Raw genomic sequence first — 26,426 nt, 5'->3', positions numbered from 1 at the left:
CAGAAATAGTGAATCTTCCCAGGTGTGCCGATGCTTTAGGAATCTGATGCTGCCAAGTATAATTTAGAACTGTTAGTACAAATCAAAGATTTCTCTCTTTAAAAAAAAATAAGTTTTAATCACATTGTCAGGAGGACATTGAAACTCATTACACTGTGAGGCCACTTAATATGTCCCATCCAGATATAAAAAATAGTGAAAAGGAGGTGGTGAAAGTATTATATATCTTTGAAATAGGAATAGTCAGGGGGATACTCTGCTGTATTCTGTGCCAGCTCAGCTACACAATACCAATGTCAACTACATGGCCTCATCATGCCCCCTCCTCCCTCCCTCAGGAGAAAAGCTGCCTTATCTAGTCTTCACTCTGGTTCCAGGTTTTCCACTTAGGGCGTGTGAACTGCTTGTCTGAAAAGGAAGAAGGAATTCTCTAAACTAAGCTGCTCAAATAACTAAAATTCCAAAGGATCATTTCTTGTTCATTCATTACGTGTTTTGGTCTCATCTTATCTCTGAGTAAGTTGGACTGGCCAGAGTCAGTGTCTCAGAGAAGGAGCTTAGTGTTCTCGTTTTCAACATTGTGGATTTCTCAGTCAATCTCAGCCATAGTGGGATCTACAAAGAACTAGAAGACATAAAACTTTATCAGCAGCTCTTTCATAGGCCTTCACAGGGATACACAAAGTGTTTACTGAGACAGACAGTCAGGCATCTCCTTTTAAGATTTAGAAAAAGAAAAAAGTCCTACACACTGCCCTTTGTGACAGCATCAGAAACCAATTGTTGCTGGCCTCTCAGAGTCACTGATTACCTGAGAGACACTGGCAAAGTCACTCCCTTAGTAGACCCTCTTTCTTCAGGGGTAAAATGGAAATAATACCTAACACAGGAGATTGTTATGAAGCTCACATGAAGTCTGTTAGACAAAGAATCTAACACATTGCTTTGGTCCATGGTAGACATCTAATAAATAGCAACTTCAGCAATTAATAATTATTATTACTATAATAATCCCAGTTTTGGTGGTTATATTTTAAAAGTCCCATACTGCCACGGATTGCACTAATTATGAGATTAGTAAATCTAGCCAAGGAGACCCAGAGCCCAACATCACCCTTCTCAACCTTCGTAGATTTTATTCTGGCCCTTGCTTTGACATTCCAAGTAAGTCTCATTTTCTGTAGTGCTATCTACTTCCTCATAGAATGTTTTAGCCAGCTGTGCCTACTGCAGTATAAAATGCAAATTAATTTATTTTACTTTGTAGGGAAAATAATTAATAGCTAGCTTCAAAATCCAAAGATGGGTATTTTAAAACATTTTGACATCTGGATTTGGATTAAGTGAAAGAACAGTCCATTTATAAATATAATCCCTTCATGGTTTTATTAACATTTCAATTGGCCAAGGAAGGCAATCAACCCTGGTGGTCATCTAAAGCCTATTTGATTGATATAGCAAAAGGTACTTGTGAGTGTGTGAGAGTGTTTTGGTACAAGCATCTCTTCTTCTTAGCGTATGCACCATGCTTTAGGAAGGCAGAAGATAGAAATGTGCCTGTTGTGTTACTGAATTCCAATTTGTACATTATATAAAGGCAACATGTTGTTGGGTCATTGATGGAATAAAGGCTGTATTTTCTTTATTCAACAATTTTATTCTAAATCATCCTTGTCGAAGGGGTCAGTATAGATTGATATATTGAAGCATTTGAGGTATTACATCCAAATTTGCTATAACAAGGAGCTAATATATTTTGTATTGGGTTATGCTATAGATTCACTAATATTTCAGTAAACATAAATGCAGTATTTTTAATAACTTAAAAAAATGAAAAGTGCATTGTGTTTCTCCACCCCAGGTAAACGTCGATAGCACCTTAGAGTATAACAGTAGTCTCAAAACATCTGTAACAGAGGAAGTAGTGAGCAGGTGGGGCTCTTTGCAAAAGTGGTGTAGTATTAAGAGGGTATTGTTTGAATAGAGATAGACTTGTCTATTATGGTTTCCTCAAGCTAGCTAAACAGGTCACTTAGCTTCTTCAAGCTGCAGTTTCTCATTTGTACAATATTGTGACCCTTAAAGGTAATAAGATAATCAAGATAGAGATCTTTGTGCAATGCTTGGTACTGATATTTCCATAAGTAGCAGCTGTTATCATTATAGCATCATCATTATCATTATCAAATTACTGCTGGAATACTGTGCTCAGTTAGAGTTACATTTTAAGAGGGATATGTAGCAATCAGAACAACCAAAATATGAATGATATATAAACCATGGAGTCTGGAAAGCCAGTAGAAGGAACTGGAGTGTTGGACGGAACATTTACCCTGAGGAAGGAACACTGAGGCTAGGAAGGATGGCAGTGGTTGAACAGGATAGCTATTTTCAAATAAATGCAGAATTTCCTCTTAAGGAAAGAGAGTAGACTCTGTGTACCCTAAGGACAAAATTAACTAATGGTAAAAGATGCCAAAAGGCAATTTTTGGCTGAAAGTTAAAAAAAGAAAAGTTCATAGCAGTTACAGCTGGTGAAAAGTCAGATGGGCTGCCGTATTCTGTAAAACCATTTGCTGGGAATAAAGGAATTATTTCACTGAGCAAGTGATGGGATTACATGATCTCTAAGTAGCTGTAGGTTAAGGGTTACTTGGCACAAGCAAAAATATGTAGGACTTGAGTTAAAGGACAACTAGGCAGGCCCTGGTTTATGTGAAGATGCAGATCCCATATGCATATACCTCTGAGAGCAATGCTGTTTAGGAAAAGATGAAAATCACATCCCTGCTAAAATTTAAAGTAGAACAGCGTATGTGTTTTGCTGATGGTCTGTTGTTGTTTAGCTAGCAATCTTTCTTCTCTCAGATTTTCCTCATAGGAATACATCTCACACTTGTGCCTATGAGGAAAAAGGCTAAAACTCTAATATTTTTCTGTCTTTCTGAATAATCTAAACCTTCTTGAATATTTTGATCTTCTTAAGGCTCAACAGAAGAGAAGGTATGTGTGCATGTGTCTGTTTATGTGTGTGTGTGAAAGGGGGGTGTAAAGTGGAGGTGTCACATAATGAAGCTGATAAATATTTTAGGTGATCTTTGAGTTATTTTAAATTAGAAAAATACTGCTGTAAAACTACAGTGAGGCTTAGTTATAATTATTTATTGAAAAAAAAGCAAAGCACACTGCAAATGCTCCATGGTGTCACTGCATACAAATTTAATTTGCATCACTGTCCTATTTTGATATTTTCTTGAATTGTGTCCAGTGTTGTGGAAGTGAGGAATTTATTTTCCATTCTTGCTGTGTGAAGATACTTTGTTGGAATGTGGTCTTGGTTTAACAGTTGGTCCTTCATGACCATAGACAAGTGCTTGGATGTGCATGTTGAACCTCTGACATTTCCTGTGGATATTTCTGACCTTGACGTGTATCTGGACTCAAAGACTCTGCTTTTTCAATTTTTCCAATATTAGAAAGTAAACTAGTGACTTGGGTATAAAGGATATGTCTTAATATTGAATATTAAAAATAACACAAGGAAATTCTTTCTATCTAAAGTGTTCTTTCCCCTAGTAAAGAGAAATCATATTTGTTTAATGTCCTCTTTTAATGTCTCTGTTTTCTCCCTCTGAGGTTTGCACTAAATAGATTGTTGGTCTCCTGCATAAATCTGCCATGGATCTGAACTGAAATTTTCAATTCTTATCTTCCAGATTGCTAACATTTATTTTATTCTAAATAAATTATTATTGGTAAATATTTTGTTTTGGCAGTCACGTTTTCAGTTTCTAAGAACTCTTTCTTATTATGTGGTTACTCATTTTCCATAGTCACTTGTTCTCATGGAATATCCTTTTGGTTTTAAACATGAAAATTTAAGTTATTTTACACGTTTTCTGCTGTGTTTCTCTTTCTTTTTGTGACGATGTGTGCTGGCTTATCTTGGTCTTTCCTTTTTCATGCTGATGATTTTCTTCAGATGTCTGCTAATCTTGGAATTCATTTCATGTTTGTAAATAAAAGACTAATTTGACCAGATCAAGTCTCTCATATGGGTTTTTAAAACCTATATGCATTTCCTCAGCACTTTTACATGATGGTTTCCATAGCCAACCTCTTTGCTGAAGAGGATGGTACAGGAGGAGATCTGGGCATGTCACCAGTCTCCCTCTTTAAGAGAGTGTGCTAGGACCTTTCACAGATAACCACAACTTTCATCTGAGCCTCCTGCACTTCAGATTATTTCACTCTCACTCCTAGGAGGAAATGGGATTCATTTTTTCCCCTCTATTTATAGAAATGCCCAGAGCTATCTGAAACTCTGTCCTGATTCTCTTCAGTCCAATATCTAAATTAGGAGCTACGCAGCCCCCACTTTGTTAAGGGGCTTTCTTACGTTGTAATCCTGGGTTAAATCACCACAGCCAGTTGTAGGAGAGAAAGAGAACCAGTCTGGCAGATCCATGGGCACACTCTCACGTTGAACTTGCTGACTGAGTTTGGAAATTCTCTAGGGCATACGTTCTCAACCTTGCTGCATATTATAAAATCGCTGGGGATTTTTTAAAAAATTCAAATGATCAGGCCACACCACAGGCCTCTTAAATTAGCAATTTTAGAAGTTCTTCAGGTGACTATAATGAACAGCCAGCATTGGGAATGAGTGTTCTGGAGCGTGATTCTCACATGTGAATGGGCAGGAGAATCTCCTGGAGGGCTTATTAAAACCCACATTGCTGGGGCCCCATCTCCAGGCTTTCTAACACAGTGGACCTGGGTGAGGTCTGAGAATGTGCATTTCTAACAAATTCCCAGGCCATACAGATACTGCTGGTGCAGGGACCACAGCTTGAAAGTCACTGCTCTGGACTTTAGTGGGAAGATCGGCTCTCTCCTTAGCCCTGCTTCATCCAAATCCTTTTTTAGGTTGATGTTTCTCTTTTTAATTTTTGAATCTATGTAACCTCATTTACATTCTAACTTTTCTACATTTTTCAACATTTTTGGCTGAATGATGGCATTCTTTTCCATTTTGTAATGCTAGTATGGATTTATTACTATTCCTTCCTTTTAGAGTTATTCCTGTGAGACTGGAGTAGGGCGGGAAAGGTAAATATGCTGTCATAAACTGGAACTCACCTTTTTAAATACACATATGAATATTTAACTGCATATGCAATATTTAACCTCATTTAAAAAATTTAAGAGTATTATCACATATATCTTATTTTCTGAAATATTCTTTAGAATATAATTTGCAGTTCCTCCCTAGTATCTACATTTAAATGAACCATAATTTCTGTAACCAGTTGCCTATTTTAGAACATAAATTATTTCTATCGTGTTTCTATTTTAAGTGTTATAATTTGTATATGATTGAGGCTGTATCATTAAATACAACCATGATTTTATATGTATGAATGTATATATATTTGTATATAAACAAATTTTTATATAATATATATAACTATGCTATTCTATATGGTATGTAAAATTAAATGTAAATTAATTAAACTTAAGTAAAACTAAAAATTTAATGCCCCATTTACAGGAGGCATATTTTCATGTGCTCAATAGCCACATGTAACAAGTGGCTGCCGTACTGGACAGGAGAGACAAATAGAACATTTCCATCATCTCAGAAAAGTCTGCTGAATACACTAATATATAAGATGAATGCATAGAAGTTGAATTTTCACATCATAGAGAATGTGTAATTGAAATACTCAGTTTGCACGTCATAGAGAATATACAGTTGGATATTGTGCCATAGGAAATTTTCTACTTAAACTTCCAGCATGAATGTTTTATAGTATCATTTCTTTAGACTTGGTTTACATTCATGACATTTGATGCGACTTAAATGTTACATGGGCAGCATTTTTCTAATGTAAAATTAATGGGTTAAAGGCAGATATAATTTAATACTTGAGGCATTACAATTATTGTACAAGGTAAGCCTTGAACAGATCTTATAGCAGTGCAGGGTATCTATTTTATAAGGTATCACTATGGCAAATAACTATTTTCTACCCTTAAATACTATCGGTTGTAAGTTTCACTATTACATTAATAAGAATAATGAAATCCTGCCCTGAATGTATTCATCTCTTGGTAGATAATATTCTACGCATTCCTGTTTGTATGATAAAATGTAAAGGGGACCCCAAGTACATTTAGAATTGAAATATAGTTATTTTTGTATTTGCAAATTATTATTTTATTATTTCTAAGTGGAAAAACCAGAAAGAAACATAATACATAACGTTATCAAATTACTATCTCCCACTCTCACAAGTGAAAACCCACCTTCTGGGTTCATTCCCTCAAGACACTGTTAGACTGTTTCTGATACAGTGTGCAAAGTGAAACAGTTAATGAAGGGCATGTGTATACCATAATAACTGCTGGCCTAGAGGGCAGAGTGTGGGTAGACTACCTGTATCATCCTGGCAGTGGTCAAGACTTTCCCGTGAATCAGTAGACACCTTTTGGAACCTAGAATTTTAGATACAGAGAGATTGAGGGGAAGTCTTTTAGCAGTAGACATCACCCCCTACACCCCCTATTACATTTTTACCCTGTAACATTGAAAAAAATCAATATGAATTCTATGTAAAACCTGGGTAAGTTGAATCCACTGGCTTCCAATCCCTCACGTGTAACAAGCTGACTTGTAACTAAATGAGCCCAGAGCCTGAGAACAACTCACCCCTTTGACCAGGTGGTAAGCACAGCTGTCAAGCTTAGGAATATGTTGGCACAAGGCTCAGCTTTCAACTCAAAGAACAGCCAGGAGCAGTTACAAGGATACTGATTCCCATTACGGGTTCTCAAAAGTGAAGCATTTTCTTAACGCCTAAATGATTTCCTATGTCTCTCAGGACACTGAGAGTTTGATAAGGCTCTACTCAAAAACCGACATTGTGTCTATTTACCTTTCTGAAGAAGATGGACACCTTCTTTTAAGTTTCTAATGCTAATTTTCCCCCTGCCTTCAAATTGCCCATTAGATCTAAAAAAGGCAGTTTAGGACTTCACAACATATTATAAATCTCTCTGTGGGCAAATTTTGTAGCGGGAGGGTGGTGGGAATGCAAACGTGTTTACTTAGTTTACTTTTAGGCTCAGGAAAGGTACCAGCAATGCCGTCATCCTGCAAAAGCTCCCTTCTTGGCTGGGCTTCATTTCATACTTGATCCTAATTAGGTGAAAATGCCACATTTGCAGATTTCTTATCATTTTTAGTGAATGCTGGAGAGCACTTTGTGAAACCTGATGTGAACATCATAAGCCAGAGGCGTAAATACACCCACACACCTTCCCTGAAGCATTTCCAGAAACCTCCTGTTGTTTTTGTTTGATAGTTGCAGCCCATTGAACTGCAACACAGACTGACTTTTCTCAGATTCTAGACTTGGCTTCCTGTGTTATTGCTTGAAGATATTTTTCTTTCCATAGATTTTCAATAATGCGTGCTAGTTTTTGCAAATCGAGTACCTCTTTCTTCATGATAGCCTCCAGAATCTACCATCTACCCCTGCTCACACCTCCACTGCCGCCAGCTCCATGAAAATTACATTATCGCCATCACCATCAGTAGTAACTACCCTGTATTTAATGCTTACTTTGTGCCAGATCTTGTGCTGTGTACTTACAAACAAGATCTCACCCAACCCTCTTATAGTAATATATGGCAGCTACATATATTATTTCCTCTTTACAGATGAGGACATGGGGTCTTGGAGAAGTTGTATAACTTACTTAAGGCCACCCATGTTAGCAAGTGAATGTATTGATTAAGGTTTAGTTGAAGAAAATTGAATCCAATAAAACTAGCTTCAACAGAAGGGGATTATATGGGCTAAGGAATTATTGACTGGATTGAAGAAAGAGAGGTGAGGCTGTGCTTTTAGAGATGACTCTCAAAATTACAGCCCAGTCATGTATTGCCAAGGCAGCCACTAGTCCTGCTGGTATATTGGGAGCACCTGCTTAATAAAGTAGTCACTGCTCTAGCTGCTAGATGGAAACCACAGTGCTTCTCATGTAGTCTGTATTAGCACAACGGATGTTCTGTGCCATACTTCTCTCTCCATTCAACCCAGTCCTGAATTCAAGTCCCCCGTAAGTACATCTGACTGGCGGAGTCTGGATCACGTTTAGAACCATAGAAAAACGTGAGCCTGGAAAGTGTAGTTTGTGGTAATTCAGGACCCAGTATCAAGCAGAGTGGCTAAGCTGGGATTTAAACTGAGGTCATTCTGATTTTAGAACCTATGTCTTCAATCAGTGTACATATTGTTTCCTTGTTTATTTATCTAACATATGATTAACACATTCCTCTTTGCATGATAACTTCATCAAATGCTACCTACTGAAGTGTACGCTTTCAGTGGACATTTCTTTGCTTGGCCCATACCCAAACACTATATTTGTAGAATTCCTTACTTTATGAGACAGAACCCACCTCCATAAAAGAAGTTTAAAAAGTCAGAGAATCATCTTCTCAGTCACCCTTATAACTAGAAGGCAGGTGCAAAACCAAGGCACTGCTAATCACTTAACTTTGAGTTGGAAATTGGTGGCAAAAAATAAAACAGTGAAGAGATCGATACCATCCTGGCCAACGTAGTGAAACCCAGTCTCTACTAAAAATACAAAAATTAGCTGGACATGGTGGCACGCGCCTGTAGTCCCAGCAACTCAGGAGGCTGAGGCAGGAGAATCGCTTGAACCGGGGTGGCAGAGGTTGCAGTGAGCTGAGATCGCGCCACTGAACTTCAGCCTGGCAACAGAGCGAGACTCTGTCTCAAAACAAAACAAAACAAAAACAACAACAACAAAAAAAACAGACAAACAAACAAAAAAACAGTGTCTATGGAAAAGTCCAGCCTAAGGATGGCTGCTGTGGCAGTGGATGGCAAGCAGTGTTTAGTGTGTTTAGTGGCACATGCTGATGGTATCTGCGGTGGAAATTGATGCTCAGTGGAGGCAGCACTGGTAACTTCACAGGACCATTTCTGCCCTGTACATTTGGGCATTGTTGCTGACTGCATAGTTTCCACAGTGGGTCCTCTGCCTTCTATGATCTGTTCATTATCAGTTTAATTTAGCCAAAGTCAGTTTTGTTGTTTGCAGCTAAGTGCTTTGACTACTATGCTTATTGAAGGAAGGATTATGTCCTGTGTTATCTTTTATCTTGTCTACTGCTTTGTGTATGACAGCCAGTCAGGAAATTTATCAATTTAACTAATTTCACTAAAGTTTACTCCAGATATAGGTCCTCTCAAGAGAAAATACAAAATAGTGAAATTAGGAATCCCCTAATATATATGACCCTCTGCTGGAATGTATAACCCTGGCCACAAATCATTTGATAAGTGATTTCTGGCTACTTAAACAAATATATTCGGTACTTTGTGCAAATTATCCTGTGGTCACATTTATTTATCTGTCTCTGTCTATCTATCTATCTATCTGTCTATCTATCTATCTATCTATCTATCATCTATCTACCTCTGTCTATCAATTATTGAACACTTACTGTGTACTAAATGCCTTATGTTCATTTTCTCATTGTGGTGTATCTACCCTATGAGAATAAAATGAGGCACAAAGAGATTAAGTAAGGGTCACACAGCTAATAAGATGTGAAGTCAGGATTCAGTCCCAGACAGTCTATCCTCAGGTGTCATGCTCTCAATCAGCATAACAACAAGCTACAACTACATTTAAAATATACTGAGAAAAAATGATGCTTAAGTCATACGAGCACTGTCAGAACTGGTCGTTAAGGTGTTAAACTGTTTTAATATAGGAAGTGATTCTTCTGTCCCTTTCAGTCCTTGTTATTAAGAGAAGTGTTTATACATTGTCAGCATAATATCCATAAATCGGTCAAGAATATTTTAAATTACTGCTCCTCACTTTGTTTCTTAAATTTGTTTCTGATAAACAGGACTTCTTTAAAAAGATGTATTTTTAATTAAGACACAAAGCCACTCTCATTGTTATATAAATTGATTTCACATGCCACTTTTTGCGACCTTTAGAAATAAATATTTATTATGGTTATTTATTGAGGAATTTTGCTTATACTTAAAACACTTACATAAAGTACTATTGAGTATAAATTTAATTAAATGTACTGCCAAATGGTAAAGGTTGGTGGACAGAAATGGGAAACATCTATTACAGATGAGCCGGCCTTGAGTTGTAACATTGTGGCTGCTTTGAATTATAATTGTATCAAAATCACTTTAATAATGTGAGCAGAAGACAGAAAGAATTATAGATTTCTTACAGATGTAGAAAAGTTACTTGACTGTGTCTTTCTAATTCCACTGTTTTCTTGTTAGTGCTTTAAGTGAAGGTCATGCTAACAGGATAAAATTTTTTGATTGTGAAGATACATTGATAAAATGTACCTTAAGGTTTAACAAAAGGCTCTTTTAAGTTTTGAAGAAATATCTTCAATGTAAGATGAGCAATAGCTACTATTCAGAATGTCATTTTGTGCTACACATTCTAGGTAAGCTCTTTACATTTATCATCTCATTTAATCTTCATGGCAGCCCCTTGGACAGGTATAATGTCATTCCTGTTTTACAGATAAGGAGACTGGGGCTTAAAGAATTTCAAAGTTACATTTGGAAGTGTTGAGATTGGAATTAATTTACTCCTGAAAGTCTAATTACAATCTGGTAATGTGTTAAGCTATTTTTTATAACTTTATTAAGGTATAATTGACAAATAAAATTGAGTATATTTACTGTGTACAATGTGATATTTTGATATATAAATACATTATGAAATGACTACCACAAACACAGAGTTTGATAATTCAACTATGCTGGTGATACTCTCTCATTTATTTAATAAGAACAGTACAGGCTCAAAAAACAGGCATCCTGTAGCTGATAATCAATTTAACATATACTTACTGATACTTTACTAGGCTTGGAAAACCGTGGAAAGAATTCAGAGAAAGTATGTAAAAAGACTCTTTCAAGAGCCACAGAAGGGATTCATTATTAACAAAAGTGGGTTTGTTATTCTCGTTTTAACAACCTCTCTCTTCTGGGAAACCAGAGATGAGGAGAATGCTGTATCCATTTTTCCAGAAAGAAAAAGACAAATGATCTGCCCAATTCTCCATTGCCAAATAGGAGTTGAATGACAGTCCTGAAGCCAGGAGAAATCTTCAGTCCCTCTAATCACAGTACTCTAACATAGTAAAGGCTAAGCAGTCTGTGATCTAACTCCTCCCTGGAAGGAATGGATGGGGTTTACTTGGGCTCAGTGTGGCTTTCCACTTCCTGATGGAGCTGTTATTTTTCTAGGCCTCGTTTCTGGTATTTTAAGCTTTTTGGTTAACCATTGTGTGCAGCTATAAGAGCCCAAAGTATCGGAACAATTTCTGAAGCACAATATGCCACATAGAAGACAATCATTTAAAATTTCCACTCAAAGAAAGTAAGTTTTTCTCTTTTTTCTTTGGTTATAGAATGCAGGAAGAGAAGATCAGAAAATAGAAACTTCTCCTTGACATTATTTCCTGGACCTTCCACTTAAAATCTTAATCACAAATTCTCCAAAGATCAAGTACTTATTATATTCTTGCAAATCACATTGAGTTGGAGAGAATTACCTTTTGATGACAGCAAGGTAGAAGGTATAAGGGCTGGAGTGGGCAGTCTTGGCTCTTCAGCCCAATCATTCTCTAAGATCCAGAGAGGGAAGTCATTGTACCAGAAAAAAATTTTCTTGAATAGCCTCAAGGATTTTTTTACTCACTCTTCTCTTTGCCTACAGTATATTTTCTTCCCTTTTTTGCTTAGCTAACTCCTACACACCTTCAAATCTAAAATCAGATTTCATTTCTTAGCAAAGCCTTTCTTAATTTCCCTCTCTCAAAGTACCTGTAACATTTCTTCACAGGAGTTTGCACAATTGCGATACTTATATGTGTTATTTCATAATAAATGTCTGCCTTTTTTTCCTAACTGTCAGCTCCATTAGGTGAGTACGATGATTATTTTCTTAATCATTATGCCCAAAGTGCTGAGGGCGAAGCATTGTAAATCTCAGAACTATTTGTTGAATAATGAATGGATAGATGAATAGTTGGATGAATAAGGAATAGCCATTCCCAATCATGTTTGTTAATCATTTACTATCTTCAAGGAGCTCCTTTCTTTTTTGCCTTCAAACTCAGGTCATCACTAGCTCTTCAAACTATGGAAAGATAGAAGGGGAAAAATGGGACTATTGTGTTTTGTAAGGCTAGAAACTCGCAGAATATAAAGTATATCCATCCCTTCATAAAGAAATTGGGCTCCAGCTATCAGCTGGCATCCTTCCCAACCTTACCAAAGATGAAGGATAAGTAGCCCCTTCAGTGGATGATCATATCCTTTCTTCTTCATTATGCTAATATGATGGGTTATATTATTTAATTTTTAATGATAAACCTATCTCAACCTTGCATTCCTAGGATAAATCTTATGCAGCCATTATAGATTGTCATTTTACATGATGTTAGATGTGATATTCTATTATTTTGTTGAAGATTTTTGCATCATGAAGGATATTGGATTGTAACTCCTATTTATTTTTCTTTTGGAAATGCCTTTTTAGGACTGATATTAGAGTTATGTTGGCCTCAAAATATGAGTGGGGACAGTGATCCATCTTCCTTCTCTATTTTCTGAAAATTTGTAAACTTGGCATTTTCTTCGTTTTTGAATGTTTGATAGATTTCCAACTAAAGTCATCTGGGCCTGAAGTTTTCTTTTGAGTAAGTTCTTGACAAATTCAATATCTTTAACAGATATGGGACTTTAAAAAGATCAGACTTTCTGTTTCTTCGTATGTCATATTTAGTTTAGTACATTTTAGTTCTCAATAATTTTTTTCCATTTATTCTAAGATGTTGAAATTTGGCATAAAGTTATTCACAGTATTCACCTATTATCCTTTTAATGTCTATAGTGTCTGTGGCAATAATCCCTTTTCTTTCTTAATATGGTGATTTGTATTCTCTATCATTGATCAGTTTTGCTGGATATTTGTCAATTTTGTTAGTATTTTCAAAGAATCATCTTCTGACTCTGTTAGTTTTCTCTATTTTCTAGTTTTTATTTCATTGATTACTGCTGTTTATTATTTCTTCCTGCACTTCCTTTGTATTTATTTTGCTTATTATTTTCTAGATTTTTTTAAGATGATACTTTGAGCCACCGATTTGAAATCTTGCTTGAATTCTACTATAAAGGCTTAAAGCAACACGTTTCCCTCTTATATACTCTGCTTTATTCACTTTCCCAAAATCTTAATGTATTTTCATGCTGTTTTTAAAATATTTTCCAATCAGTTTAGTAATTTCATTTTTGTCTTATAATTTATTTGGAAATGTATTGTTTTACTTCCAGTTAGTAGGCGTTTTCCTATATATAGTAATCTTAACAATTTTTAACTCAATACTTTTGTAGTTTGTTTTATAGTTTTTATCCTTTTAAAATTTATGGAGAATTGTCCATCTTGAGTAAATATATCATGCATTAAAAATGTGTATTGTGCAGTTGAAGGTTATTAATACTGTTCTAAATGTGACAATTAGATCAAAATGGTTAATGTGGTTGTTCATACTTTCTATGTTTATATTAGCTTATTTTCTAGCTCTATCAAATGCTGAGAGAAGTATAAAAATTCCTACTATGTTTTTGTAATTTATATTTCCTTTGATTCTGCAAATGTTTGCTTTATTTATCTTGAGGCCATTATTTGTTCCATATACACTGAGAATTATTAGGTCTTCCTGATGAATTTTCTCATTTATCATAATGAAATGTCCTTTTTTATCTCTAGTAATATTCTTAGTCTCAAAGTGCATTTTATAGGATATTAAAATAACCTTTCTGACATTATCCATACTTTTTGCATAATAAATATTTTTCTCTTTGTTTATTTTTATTTTATCTGTATCTTTATATTTAAAGTGGTTCTTTCAGGACTCACATAGTAGAGTCTGGCTTTTTGTATGCTTTGACGGTTCCTCCTGCTTTTTAGTTGGATGAGAATGTTAAGACCATAGTTGGCAAACTATGAGTCATAAGCCAAATCCAGCCCGTGGCCTTTTTGTACTGCCCACACACTAAAAATGGGTGTGTGGCTTTTTTTTTTTTTTTTTTTTTTTTTTTTTTTTTTTTTTTTTTTTTTACATTTTTAAAGAGTTATAAAAGGGAGAATATAAAGAAATCTTATACCTTAGCAGTTCCTTTTGGCCCCATTACCCTTTCCTTCACTGTATACACTATTAATGCAACTTGATTGTTATACTTATTTCTGGGAAATCAGGTATCCTGTGATTTCAAATGGAGCTTTCAGTCAAATTTTCAACCAGATACCTTTCATGTTTTTATTTTTTTATTTTTTAAAAAAAAGATCTGTGTAAGAAATTTAATCTTGTTTATTTGGTCCTTCTGGCAGTCATTTCTGCATCCCGGTTAGAAGAATTTTCTCCCAGAATTGTACTGTTAACACATTTTATAACTATATTACATACCTTTTATCTGAATTGTTAATAAAAAGTTTGAATAATATACAAGAATAATGCACTCTGTCACATAAATGTCAACCCATTAATAATTTTTTTATGAATTTACTCAACTAGCTGTAGATTTACTTAACCCTCTAATTTAGCTTTCATTTCACCTACTAATCAAAATGATTATCTATAGATATTCAAAAACAGCTGTTTCTGTAAATGAAGCATGAACTATGAATAGCTAACATCTCTTAAACACTTTCTATGTGCCAGTCAGTGTTTTGAATTGCTTATATGAAGTAGTTAATTTAATCCTGTAAAGTACTATCAGTAATGACATTTCCAGATTTGGAAAGTGAAACACAGAGAAGTTAAACAACATGCCCAAGGTTACACAGAGTGGTGGAGTCCGAATTTGGTCCCAGGCTGTTTGCTCCCAAAGCCTGAGCTGTTAACAACCTCTCTTGCACCATTTTGTTACTGAAGGAGCATTGATTTGGGGTCATGATACCTGAGTCTGAGCCATTGATAAGTACCAGATTTCAATTAAGTTTTTCAAAGAATGGAGGCGTTATACCAAAAAGTTACTAGGTATTCTTTAGCTCAAAATATTATTATTCTTGTTTACTTAGCTATTTGATCATTTCCATATGAAGAAGAGGCAAGGATAATCATAAATACTATTACACAGTACTTCTGTCAAGGTCCTAGATAAACATTTTGTGCCTAACAGAAATGAGCTTTGAGCACAGCTCTGTCTTCCCTTAGAATTAGATTTTAGCAGCGTTGGCTCCATGGGCATGAGGCCTGGAACACAGAGGCCATGATGAGAAGGGGCCTGGAACACAGGGGCCATGATGAGAAGGGCCTCACATTAATACTCTGCTGTCATGGTACTGAAATTCCTAATAATTTATGAGCAAGGGACCCCACATTTTAATTTTGCACACACAAAATCTGTCACCAATCCTGCTGTCAATTTTTCTGCTGTAGTCTTGAGGTGCTGCACAGACAGCAGAAGGCTTAGCATAGGTTACAGGGCTAGGAAATGCTCCCTGGTGTGGGAACATAATAGCAGTCAGTCCCTTCTTAGAGTCAGTCCCTTCTTAGATCAGTGAATGCTGAGTCTCCTGGTTTGGTGGTCTGTTTTCATTTCTTGCCTTTTACATTCTAGAAAAGCAAAATTTTCCATTACATCTTGTTGGTATCTGCAACCAACTTCTGTGGGTCAGTACCTATTATCGTTTTAATTGGAGAAATAATGAAACATGTTTACTTACATTTTGCATATAGAAAGAAAGATAAAGACATTTCTTAATTTGTTGTCCCCATTTTCTCTCTGGGCATGATTCCTAATGCTAATATTACATGATCTTTTTTTGGCGATGATGTTATGTTTTCTAATCCATAAGAGAATTCAGAATTTGTATTTCAAATAGAACAAAGCCTTATTCCACTGTGAAATATTTCACATCCAACTCTCCCTTGCTCCCACCACCCAGGAGAATATCTCAGTGATTAAATAAGTTAAAAGCTAAAGTTGCTTTGCAAAGAGCATAGCCTACTAACCCTTCTTTGATATCACAGATTGTTTAAAAACCTGTCTCGTTAAATTGACCCACAGTTCTCACATAAAAAAAGAGGGGGACATAGTTTGCCATTTTAAAACATATGCTCCTGCTTAACAAAGCTAGTTGAAGCAAACCTGTCAAATGCCAAAGTGTAGAGTATTAAAATTTCAACAAAATGTCAGGAGAAATGGGAAAACTGGGGAATTTAAGAAAATCTGTCATAAAGATTGCATTGCATGTTTCTTTCTGCCTAAGTTTGGGTGACATATGGAGGTTTAAAAATATAACCTAATGATGTGTCTTTATGGGAAAAAGTTTATATAACCTAATTGCCACAAAACTGTCATTGCTGGTTAATTTATTAGAGTAATAAAAGATGTTGTGTTCTTAGAACTTAACTGGAATGAGTTCTGTCCAACAACACTGACAGTCCCTGAACCGTAAATTTTCTATTTTTGCCACTTATTTGAAACCTAAGAAGATGCACATGGTTAAGTGTAGATATAATATGTTTAACCGTTTTACTTGGCTTACTGGTTTAGAAGCAAGAACATAGGCGAGTTTGAGATGGTGCTGAAAGCCTTACGTTGTGGGATGAGACTAGATGCAAAGATTTGGGAGAAAGGACATGGAGACTAGTAACAAAGGCCAGAGGACTTATAAGAAGTGTTAGCTCTCAGATTTCACCTATTTTTTTAAATTTTTTAAAATTTTGAAATAACTTGAGGTTTACAGAAAGGTTGCAAATATAGTACAGAGATTCCTTCATGCTCTTCACCCAACTTCGCCTAATGTTAATATTTTACATGACCATGGGGCAGTCATCAAAACTAGGAAATTAACATTGATAAAATCTTATTAACTAGACTAGTCTTTATTCAGATATCAACAGGTTTTCCACTAATGGAATCCAGTCTTTTTCTGTTCATGAATCCAACCTAGGGTGTTGCATTTAGTTATCATGCCTAGTTAGTATCCTCTGGCATGTGAATTTCTCAGTCTTTCTGAGAAATTTTTGCTCTTTGGAAGAGCCAGTACTATTCCAAAGTGCAAGGTCATGAAATGGAAAGTATTCTTTAGAATGTCATTCAATTTCATTCTGTCTGGTATTTTCTCATCATTAGACTGGTTTGCCCAAATATTTAATTTACTTATTTAAGAAAGTACACAAAATTCAGCAGAGATGACTTGAGTGCAAGGGAGTAGCAGGGCTACACTGAGATATTTACATTTGGCCACGTAAAGGTCAACATGATTAAACTGGCCTAATTATCTATTAGTTTACATATGGGTTGTAAGTTTGTCATATGCAAATTGATTTCACACTTTCTTGAAAGAAAACTAACACCAAGTAATATATGTTGCCTAATTATACATTGCCTACTGTTATTGTCAAACAGCCCTATGAAATAGGTATTACTGTTTTTGTTAATACTATCATTATTATTATCTTTATTTTATAATTTAGGAAATTTAAACTCATGAAAAATTTAGGTAAGTTCCCAGTTGCACAGCTCATAATTTCTGACTCCAAAAGCCATCCTGTTTACTCATTAAGAAATAAAACTTCAGGTTTGGGGTAATTTGTTCCTCCTCTGAGAGAAACCCATGTAAAATATTACCTTTGAGATGTATCCTAGAGGTTTTTGAGTTATTAAAGATACTGATATTATATTGGTGAAAACTTTTTAGAAAAAAGATTTCCTCAGCACTGCTAAACACATACTCCCAAACAATTCCTTAATCCCTCATTTTCTTCTCTTTTTCTCATTTCTCTTTCTCTCTGTTTCTGTCTCTCTTTACACACACACACACACACACACACACACTCCACAAACATACACAAGAGCCCACAGGCCACATACACATTTTATATGTTTTTATATATCTATCAATCTATCTGCAGGTTTAATGAATATGAGATATATTAAGGATCATACTTTTAAAACAAACCTCCTTAATTGTTGAAATTGCTTATGCTTCAGTACCAAGATGATATTAGTCAAAGTCCAGTGTTTTTCACTGTTAACATGAGTCAGTAGAAGAAATAATTTGGGGAATATGTATTAGAAGCTTAATTATCTAGTTTCCACGGGGTAAACAAGCTAAGATCAAATCAGGTACACCTACTAAACTGAACCATCTGGATGATTACAAACTGTTAAAACTATAGCTTCTAATGGTTTAAGCCTCAACTTGGATGCATCAAATTCTAGAATTGTTCCCACTCTCTGTTGCTATAAGAAAGTTCACTGAATTGAAAACTACACATTGTCTAGTTTAACAATCCAATTTTATAGGTAAGTAATCAATATTTTCAAGGTCACTGATCTGGTTAATGACAGAATCAGGGCTAGAACATATGGGTTATAAGTCTCTTTTTACTTGATAGTCTGTGATTCTGGAAAATAAATGAGTTAGGTATTGGTTAAATAAAGCTTTCTAATTATATTTATTTTTAACATTTCATTATAAAAAAGAATTATTCAAGGCTTATGGCACATTATATGGATATTGTATGTGATTTTATTCCATTTTTACCAAAAATAAAGCCTAACTATTGTACTCTGAAATAGAGTAATTAAGCAACATGTTGCTGTTGAAGACAAATTAGAATATGAGGAAGGCTAAAGATTTGGTGATGTAGTAAACATTATACTACTTATTGGTAGTAAAAAGCTAAAAAAAGACACAAAGCCCTAAAGCATCTAATTTTATGGAAGATGTTGTATGGTATAAGAATTATTAAGTGCATTAAGAATTATTATTTCTTATATCATTATTCTTAAATGATTAATTCTTAAATTATTCTTTAATTATAAAAGGCATTAAGAATTATTAGATTATTAATGCTAATACATATTATCCATCTTCTAGGTTAAAATTAGTCAAGAATGTGTGTATCTTTATAAGACAACACTTGTTCCAGCAATATGTGATGTGCATAATAAAAAGCTAGCATCAAAAGCAATTTATACCTCTCAGTTTGAAAAATTTCGATAGGCTATAAGTAATAAATTTGTGGAAGAATACATCTTTAAATGGCTATTTTTAATATACTAACAGATTAATTTTTAAAGCCTTCTTCTATTGACAGCTTTGATGAATGCTGTTTTGAGTATCTTTTCTGCTGAATCTTTCAGAAATGTTTTTACAAGTTGGAATTAAGGAGACAGCAACTCATGTATGTGACATCCATAGATACTTTTTGCACCCCATAAAGTCACTTTAGAGGAATATGTATTGAAACAGCATTTTCTACTCTCAAATCTTCCCATGGATTGTTGGAATTATAGTCAGCAAATTTACTTCAAGTGAACTAAGAGCAACTTGGAATTGAAAGATACATGTTCTTAGTTTATGATCCCAAATAATAGTTTTATTGTCGGTATTGTGACCAACCTACATTTTTTTTTACTTTGTCTTTCAAAACTTGCTGTTGGCTTTGTGAGCCAGTTTTATAAGGTTTAGTTTTGAAATTAAATCCTTAAAACTGTTAGGGTTTGTATATTACTATATCCCCAGATTTAATTAAGTTTGGTTAATTTTCAAAACTCATGCCATTTAAAAAATTTCTAGACGTGCTAGTCTATTATAGTTTAACTATTTATTTAAGCTAAGTTTTTAAATATAACACTGCATTTGATTTTAGAGTTTCTGCCTTTAAGTATTAAGTTTTAGCTATATAGTTCTTCCCTAAAGAAAACAGTTTGACATGAAAGATGGGGTCTCTCAGATCTATTACATGGGATTTATTACCCATTTCAGCATAAAAACAGAAAAGTATGAGCAGTTACTAGGTAGTAGATGGATTCTGTGTGGCATATATACCTGACACTCTTTACATTTGCACCAGTGATTTTAATGGACATGCTCTTTGATTCTGTAAAACCCAGAGGGCTAGGTTTGACAAAAAGCTAAAATATCACACATAAACCTTCAAGAAGCTTCAGGTTACTGTGATAACCTCAAAGGATATATTCTCAGCAGAGAAGACTAGAGGATACCAGGCTGCAGAATGCTTCAGTGAGCACAGCCTCTCGGTTCCATAGGGATGTTTCGTGATATTGGTATTTTGCTTGTCTTGGGTGAGAGCCTGCCAGGACACAGGAAGCCCCACATTATACCAACAATTCCAACATATTTAACTTACATTGTTAGGAAGATCAGTGTGCAGAAGGGTGAAGTCAGTCATTCACAAGGCCTTCAGACCTAGGGAGCACAGCACACCTGCCACAGGATTAGAAAATAGACATTATTAGAAAATAATTACATTTATTGTAATTACAAAATATTGCATTTCTATTTGATCATGATATATAAATATAAAAACTAAAATATAAATTTTCTTTATCATTCCTCCCCCCCGTTCCCCAGAGGTAGCCAGTGTTAATAGATTATGTGCCCTTTAGAACTATATTCTATGCACACTCTTCTGTACCTCCTCCTCCATCCCAAGTACACTATACATTTTTACGCGGTCAAGTCAGCTAGTCTTCTTGCCTTCTGACTTCTAGGTTTTGTGTTTCTCTTATGATGTTTTGCTACTAAACAATAATAATTTTTTTTTTTTTTTGGCTGGGCACAGTGGCTCATGCCTGCAATACCAGCACTTTGGGAGGTTTGAGCTCAGGGATTGGAGACCAGCCTGGGCAACATGGTGAAACCCCACCTCCACCAAAAATACAAAAATTAGCTGGGCATGGTAGCACGCCTGTAGTCCCACATAAGGGAGCACTGGGGCGAGGATGGGTAGAATCAGTTAATCACTTGAGCCTGGGAGGCAGAAGTAAAGGCACTGCATTCCAGCTAGGGCGACAGAGTGAGACCTTGTCTCAAAAAAATTTTAAAAAGTATGAAATTTTATATTTTTCAAATATATTGGTATAACTCAATATTTCCATAACAAGTTGATCTCCTTAAGTTATTTGACAGCATTCTAAATATCACTCAGCTTCCTGGAATGTATGAGGAATAAGGTCTGTATGCTCCTAAAGGAATATGGGGAGTTCGCAGTCTACATTTATAGCATATCAGGGCACCAAGCTAATTTCATTTTTTAGCTTCTGGACTGTCTTTACTGTGGAGATAATTGAATGACATCGAAAATTATTGAAGTGGTTCTTGTGCCATTAAATCACAATAAGGGTCATTTAGGCTAGGAGATTTTATGGGAGAAATCATGTCACTATTTAAAATGTTGGCAGATATTGCTGGTTTAAATAAATCCATGAGGGCCACTTAGGATAAATACAAACCTCAAATGGGTGAAAATGATGACTGGGTCCATTGCATCAAATTACAAATCTGTGGAAACTGTCTAGTGGTCAATTTAGCTGAATAACTTGGACATAAAGGGAGAACAGTAGAAAAGAAATAATTCGAATTGGGAATTCTCAAGTAACACACACACACACACACACACACACACACACACACACACACACACACACCAGACAATAGGTAACAGTTACTAAAAGTTAACTATGTGCCAAGCACTATCCTAAATGTTTTAGATGTTTTACTTGACTTATCTCACTTTTTTCTTATAATCTGTCTTCCACACACAGTCTCTTTAGACTTACCTGCTTTCTTACTAATTCTCCTGCGGTTTTACTGGAATACATCATTGAAAGACTAAGCTTATGTATTTACTCTGGTACTCATTCAAGTATAAGCACCACTACAGCAGGGATCATGTTTGTGTCACCCAATATTTTATACCTAGTAGTTAACGCAGGGCATGGCACAGGCTATATGATCAACTAATATTTGTTGACTTCATAAAATAATTTTGTTTTCAGATTTTATGAATATAGTGATTCTTAAACCACAAAATGCTAACAAGCTAAGGGCAATTTCTCTAGCTCCCATTTCTCTACCCAGAGTCTTTTGTCTCCACCCACAAAGAAAAAAATCTTGAAGTACTAAGGATACTATGAAATGACAGTTTCAAGCATCGGTTACCAAGACTGTTTCTGTTTGTTCCAAAAGAATTTTTCAAATGAGAGAGCTTCTACATATTACCACAGATGAGAAAGGAACAAGGAGAGAGAAATTTGCTGCAAAAAGTTTCACGGTGAAATGTTTATGAGAGATTTTGCAGTAAACACTTCAAAAATGATTGATGTGCTAGAATTCAGTGGGGAATATGTGCAGAGTATGTAGAGATGCAGATACACTTGGCAGATATTTGCATCTGGAGTGGAAGGAATATTCATCCCAGCTCTTGTGATGGAGCCTCTTAGTTTAAAAGAGAGCAGAGGAAATCAGAGACCCGGCACTTTCTGGAAGAGGTCAGGGATGCTCAATGCGGGAGATTCCAGCTGCAGCTGGGGATTGCTTCTTCTGTAGTCGACTTCATGGGTGCCTGGGCTGTGGTCTTGGAAAAGCATATTTAAAGGGGAATAGGCAAACTTCTATTTTGAGAGGATGGCAGAGGATGAAAGAAAAGCAGTCACAGCATATGTATGTAACTATATAATCCCATCTTCTCATTCTTACATCATTTCTACCATACATCCAGAGGCAATTCTTCCCCCAACTCTAAGAATGGGGATGTAGGCAGGATAGAAAGGGAGCATATACCTATATAAGGAAAGCATTTCATCTGTTGGGTTCACCTAGTACAAGCCCTGCCTTAGAGTAAGTATTGGATAAATACTCACATTTGTTGTTAAATTAAGAAAACTCTCTTATGTTGTCTCTGGGCTTTGACACAATTATCCTCAGTAATACTAACTGTCCCAAGAGCCAAATTTGCATTTCTGGTGAAGTTTCACCAAAAGCTGAGACCATCTCTTATCCTTATTAAAACCAAGAACTTATACTCCTGGCACATAGCTGGAGCTATTAGTAAGCAGGTGTCGGATGAATGAATGGCTGAATGGCTGGATAAAGGAATGAAGTTGAACACTGTTACCGTGAAAGAAGCCTGAGGCAATCTCCACTTTTCTGTCTTAACCTAATCAATACAAAGACAAACTGATAAGCATGTCTCACCTCACTCCACCCCCTCCTCAATTACACACCACCATATAACAGATGAAAAATCCAGGCACTCATCTACATTCTAACAAGTTAAAGAGATAAGATATATACAAGACGTTTATCTCTGTGAATAAATTCCTTATTCCATATTTATAAAGGTAGTTTTGCAGTGGCCTTTGCAATTAAAGTGTCTCATCTTTTGAATTATTAATTGACCACATATCTTTTTAAAGGAGTAATTATTGAATTTGGAGAAGATGACCTTTATCAGAAATTGAGAACCACCATAAATCATCTTCCCATAAAATGCATATATGTGTGGGTATATACACAATGGACCTTAGAAATCGTCTATATGGCCCAGTTGTAGTGGCTCATGCCTGTAATCCCAGCACTTTGGGAGGCCAAGGCGGGAGAATCACTTGAACTCAGGAGGTGGAGGTTGCAATGAGCCGAGATCGCACCACTGCACTCCAGCTTGCGCGTATATATGTGTATATACACACACATATATACATTTTATGCATATATCTATCTATACATACATACTTTAAGCAATTTTTGCTTGTAACCTTGTCAACTACATGTTCAGCGTCATTCAGCAAGTATTGCTAATTTCTTAGTGTTAAGTTTAGATGACATGATATTGCCTGGGATTTGGTTCAAAATAATCTATGGTGGGGGAAGAGGGTTGGATGTAGATTAGCACTATCTAATAAATTGTTCCGCAGTGATGGAAATGTTCAACTGTTTTGTAGAGCTTCACTATCCAAAATGGTAGTCACTCACCACATGTGGCTATTGAGCACTTGAGATATGGCTAGTGCAGTCAAGGAACTGAATTTTTGATAGTATTTAATTTTAATCAATTAATAAGTGGTGAAGGGCTACTGTACTAACAGCACAGAAACAGATAAATGTAATTGGCATGAAGTGATAATACTTCAAGCTGGGTAATGAGAACATGACTTATGTAAGTTATTTTCTTGATTATATGTTTGGAATCATCCATAATAAAAATTTAGAAAAATTGAAAAAAAAAGAAAGACAAATGCCACATGATTGCATTAATATGTAGAATCATAAAAAGTTGAACTCATAAAAACAGAGAGTAGAATGGTGATTCCCAGGCCTGGAGAGCGAAGGAAATGAAGACATGTTGATCAAAGGGTACAAACATTCAGGTATGAGATGGAAAAGTTTTGGGGACCTAATGTACAGCATGGTTAGTGATGGATGTGTTAATTAATTTGATTATGATAATTATTAACCATTGTATTCCTATATCAACTCATTATGTTGTACAGCTTGAATATATGCAATCTTTACTTGTCAATTACGTATTTTAAAATTAAGAAAAAAGGGAAAACAAAACATTGAGTAGACAAAGGTAGAGGAGAAAAATTAAGCCTTTAAAGCCCTATTTATTGATGTCCATCCAAGTCTCGCTTTGCAGGATGAGCAGAGGCTCTTTGGATTTTTGGCAGCCTCTCCTCAGAGGAGGTTGCCAAGAGATCGGCTCAGGGGACCTCATGACAGCTCTGAGTAGCCACGGAGTTGCTCGAGAGGAAAATGGAAGCTTGATCTGTCAAAGTGAAGAATAGGCCTATAGGACTAGATTGCAGGGTGAGCATGAATAGTGCTTTAGAATTGAGCCATATGCTGCCATTCCAATAATGTGTAAGGGACAGACACATAACAAGTCACATAAGCCAGAATATTCTAAACCAGTGACTAGATTTTAGGTCCTTAGGAGCCAAGTCATGGGACAATGAGTATGGTTGGGAAGGAGGAAGGCCCAGGGTAAAATATAAAGCAAGACACAGGGAATCAGGGAGATATCCTAATGTTATTTACCCAGTGAGCTAAGAAAAGGGCTTGGAATAAGCAGTCTTTTTTTTTAACAGAAGTGTTATTGATATGGTATCATTCGCTTATGTGATTAAAGGCTGATCCAGATAAAGGACTGTAGAAGTTCAAGCTATGATCCGTGAAAGCATCTGAGGATAAATGGATTTGTTCTGCACTAGGAAACAGGGAGAAGCTTCAATTCTGTACCCCCTCAGTCTGATGAGTATCTCAGTAACTTTGGGAAAGTTTCTGATGAAATACTTTCTTAGTCCATAACGACATGCTCTCCAGACTTTCCAGTTGGCTGTAGAGGATAGCGCACTTCCTGGGACTGGAGGGAACTGAACCACATAGCCCTGACATTTGCTTTCCTCTGCCACTTAGAGGTTCTTCTCCCTGTTCTTCCCCCTTCTTTCCTTCTTTGCCTTCAATGTATTGGACCAAGTATGGACAAAAACCAGATATTTTCTTCATTTGCACAGCAAGGCTGAGATTAGATTGACTGTTTCAAGAGCACTTCACTAAAGGTGTAATTACATCAAAATGGAAATGAACAGGATGCTGAACATGCAACCAGATAATGTAACTGGTTCATAATATTAATGGGTTATATGTGTTGAAATTATACTGCATATCCCATACTGTACTGTGTATATAAATATCATTTTATCTGATCTGCACACCAGATGTATGAAATATCTATCATTATTTAGTAGATGAGGAAACAGCTCAGAAGTGTTTGTCTTTTGTTATAAACTGCAAAGCTAAAAGATAGCAGAGACTGGATTTGAATCTGAGTTTGCCCACTCCAAAGCTCATGCTCGTAACCTCTTCAGTATACTTTATTATTTCATCTTCAGCATGGAGATCCATGGACAGTGTCACCCTACTTAGCTCCTGACCTGCCTCCAAGTGGCAGAGACATTTTTCCTTTTGTAAAGTGTACCCTGAATATCCACTCACCCCCTTCAGAATAAAGCCCATCTCCTCTTCTAGGATGTTGTCTCAATGCATCAACCATGTCAGAGTACATCTCTACATGTAATAAATGAATTATCTATACAAATCACCTGCAGACTCTCTTTTCACCCTTAATTCCCCACCCTGAGTCTTTCTCTTGCCTTATGTGCCAAGGAGGGCACAAGTTGACTTCATATACTTTTCATCATTCTAAATAAATTCTTATAATGATACTGCTGTCATTATAAGGATGTGATGGTAGTGCTGCTGAGAGTGATGGATTCCATTCACTGAATATCTGATATATCTAAGGAGTTATACTCAGTGTGTTACACATTAACAGTAGTCCCAACAGTAGATATTATGATCTTCATTTTACAGATGTAGAAACTCAGGCTCAAAAAGTTGAAGTGACTTACCCATGGTCACTCAAGCTGGTACATGCAAATGCTAGAACTTGAACCCAGTACTGTGTGATTCCAAAGCTCATGTTTTCTCTA

The 26,426-nt window shown here is 35.7% G+C and overlaps 1 protein-coding gene and 1 long non-coding RNA gene across 4 annotated transcripts in view; one reads left to right on the top strand and one right to left on the bottom strand.

The window, feature by feature from the left end:
* GABRB2 (gamma-aminobutyric acid type A receptor subunit beta2) overlaps positions 1 to 26,426 on the top strand; it is a 259,969-nt gene that overhangs the window by 140,879 nt on the left and 92,664 nt on the right. The window lies entirely within an intron of this gene.
* LOC105377694 (uncharacterized) lies at positions 102 to 26,426 on the bottom strand. Its single transcript, XR_001742957.2, has 4 exons — positions 26,346 to 26,426; positions 20,279 to 20,355; positions 6,443 to 6,501; positions 102 to 625 (listed from the first exon to the last, which is right to left on the bottom strand). It is a non-coding gene; the product is annotated as an uncharacterized LOC105377694 (long non-coding RNA).

This window comes from Homo sapiens, chromosome 5, assembly GCF_000001405.40.
Source record: "Homo sapiens chromosome 5, GRCh38.p14 Primary Assembly".
NCBI lineage: Eukaryota > Metazoa > Chordata > Mammalia > Primates > Hominidae > Homo > Homo sapiens.
The sequence above is the reverse complement of the archived record's forward strand: the minus strand, read 5'-3'. Positions and strand labels throughout refer to the sequence as shown.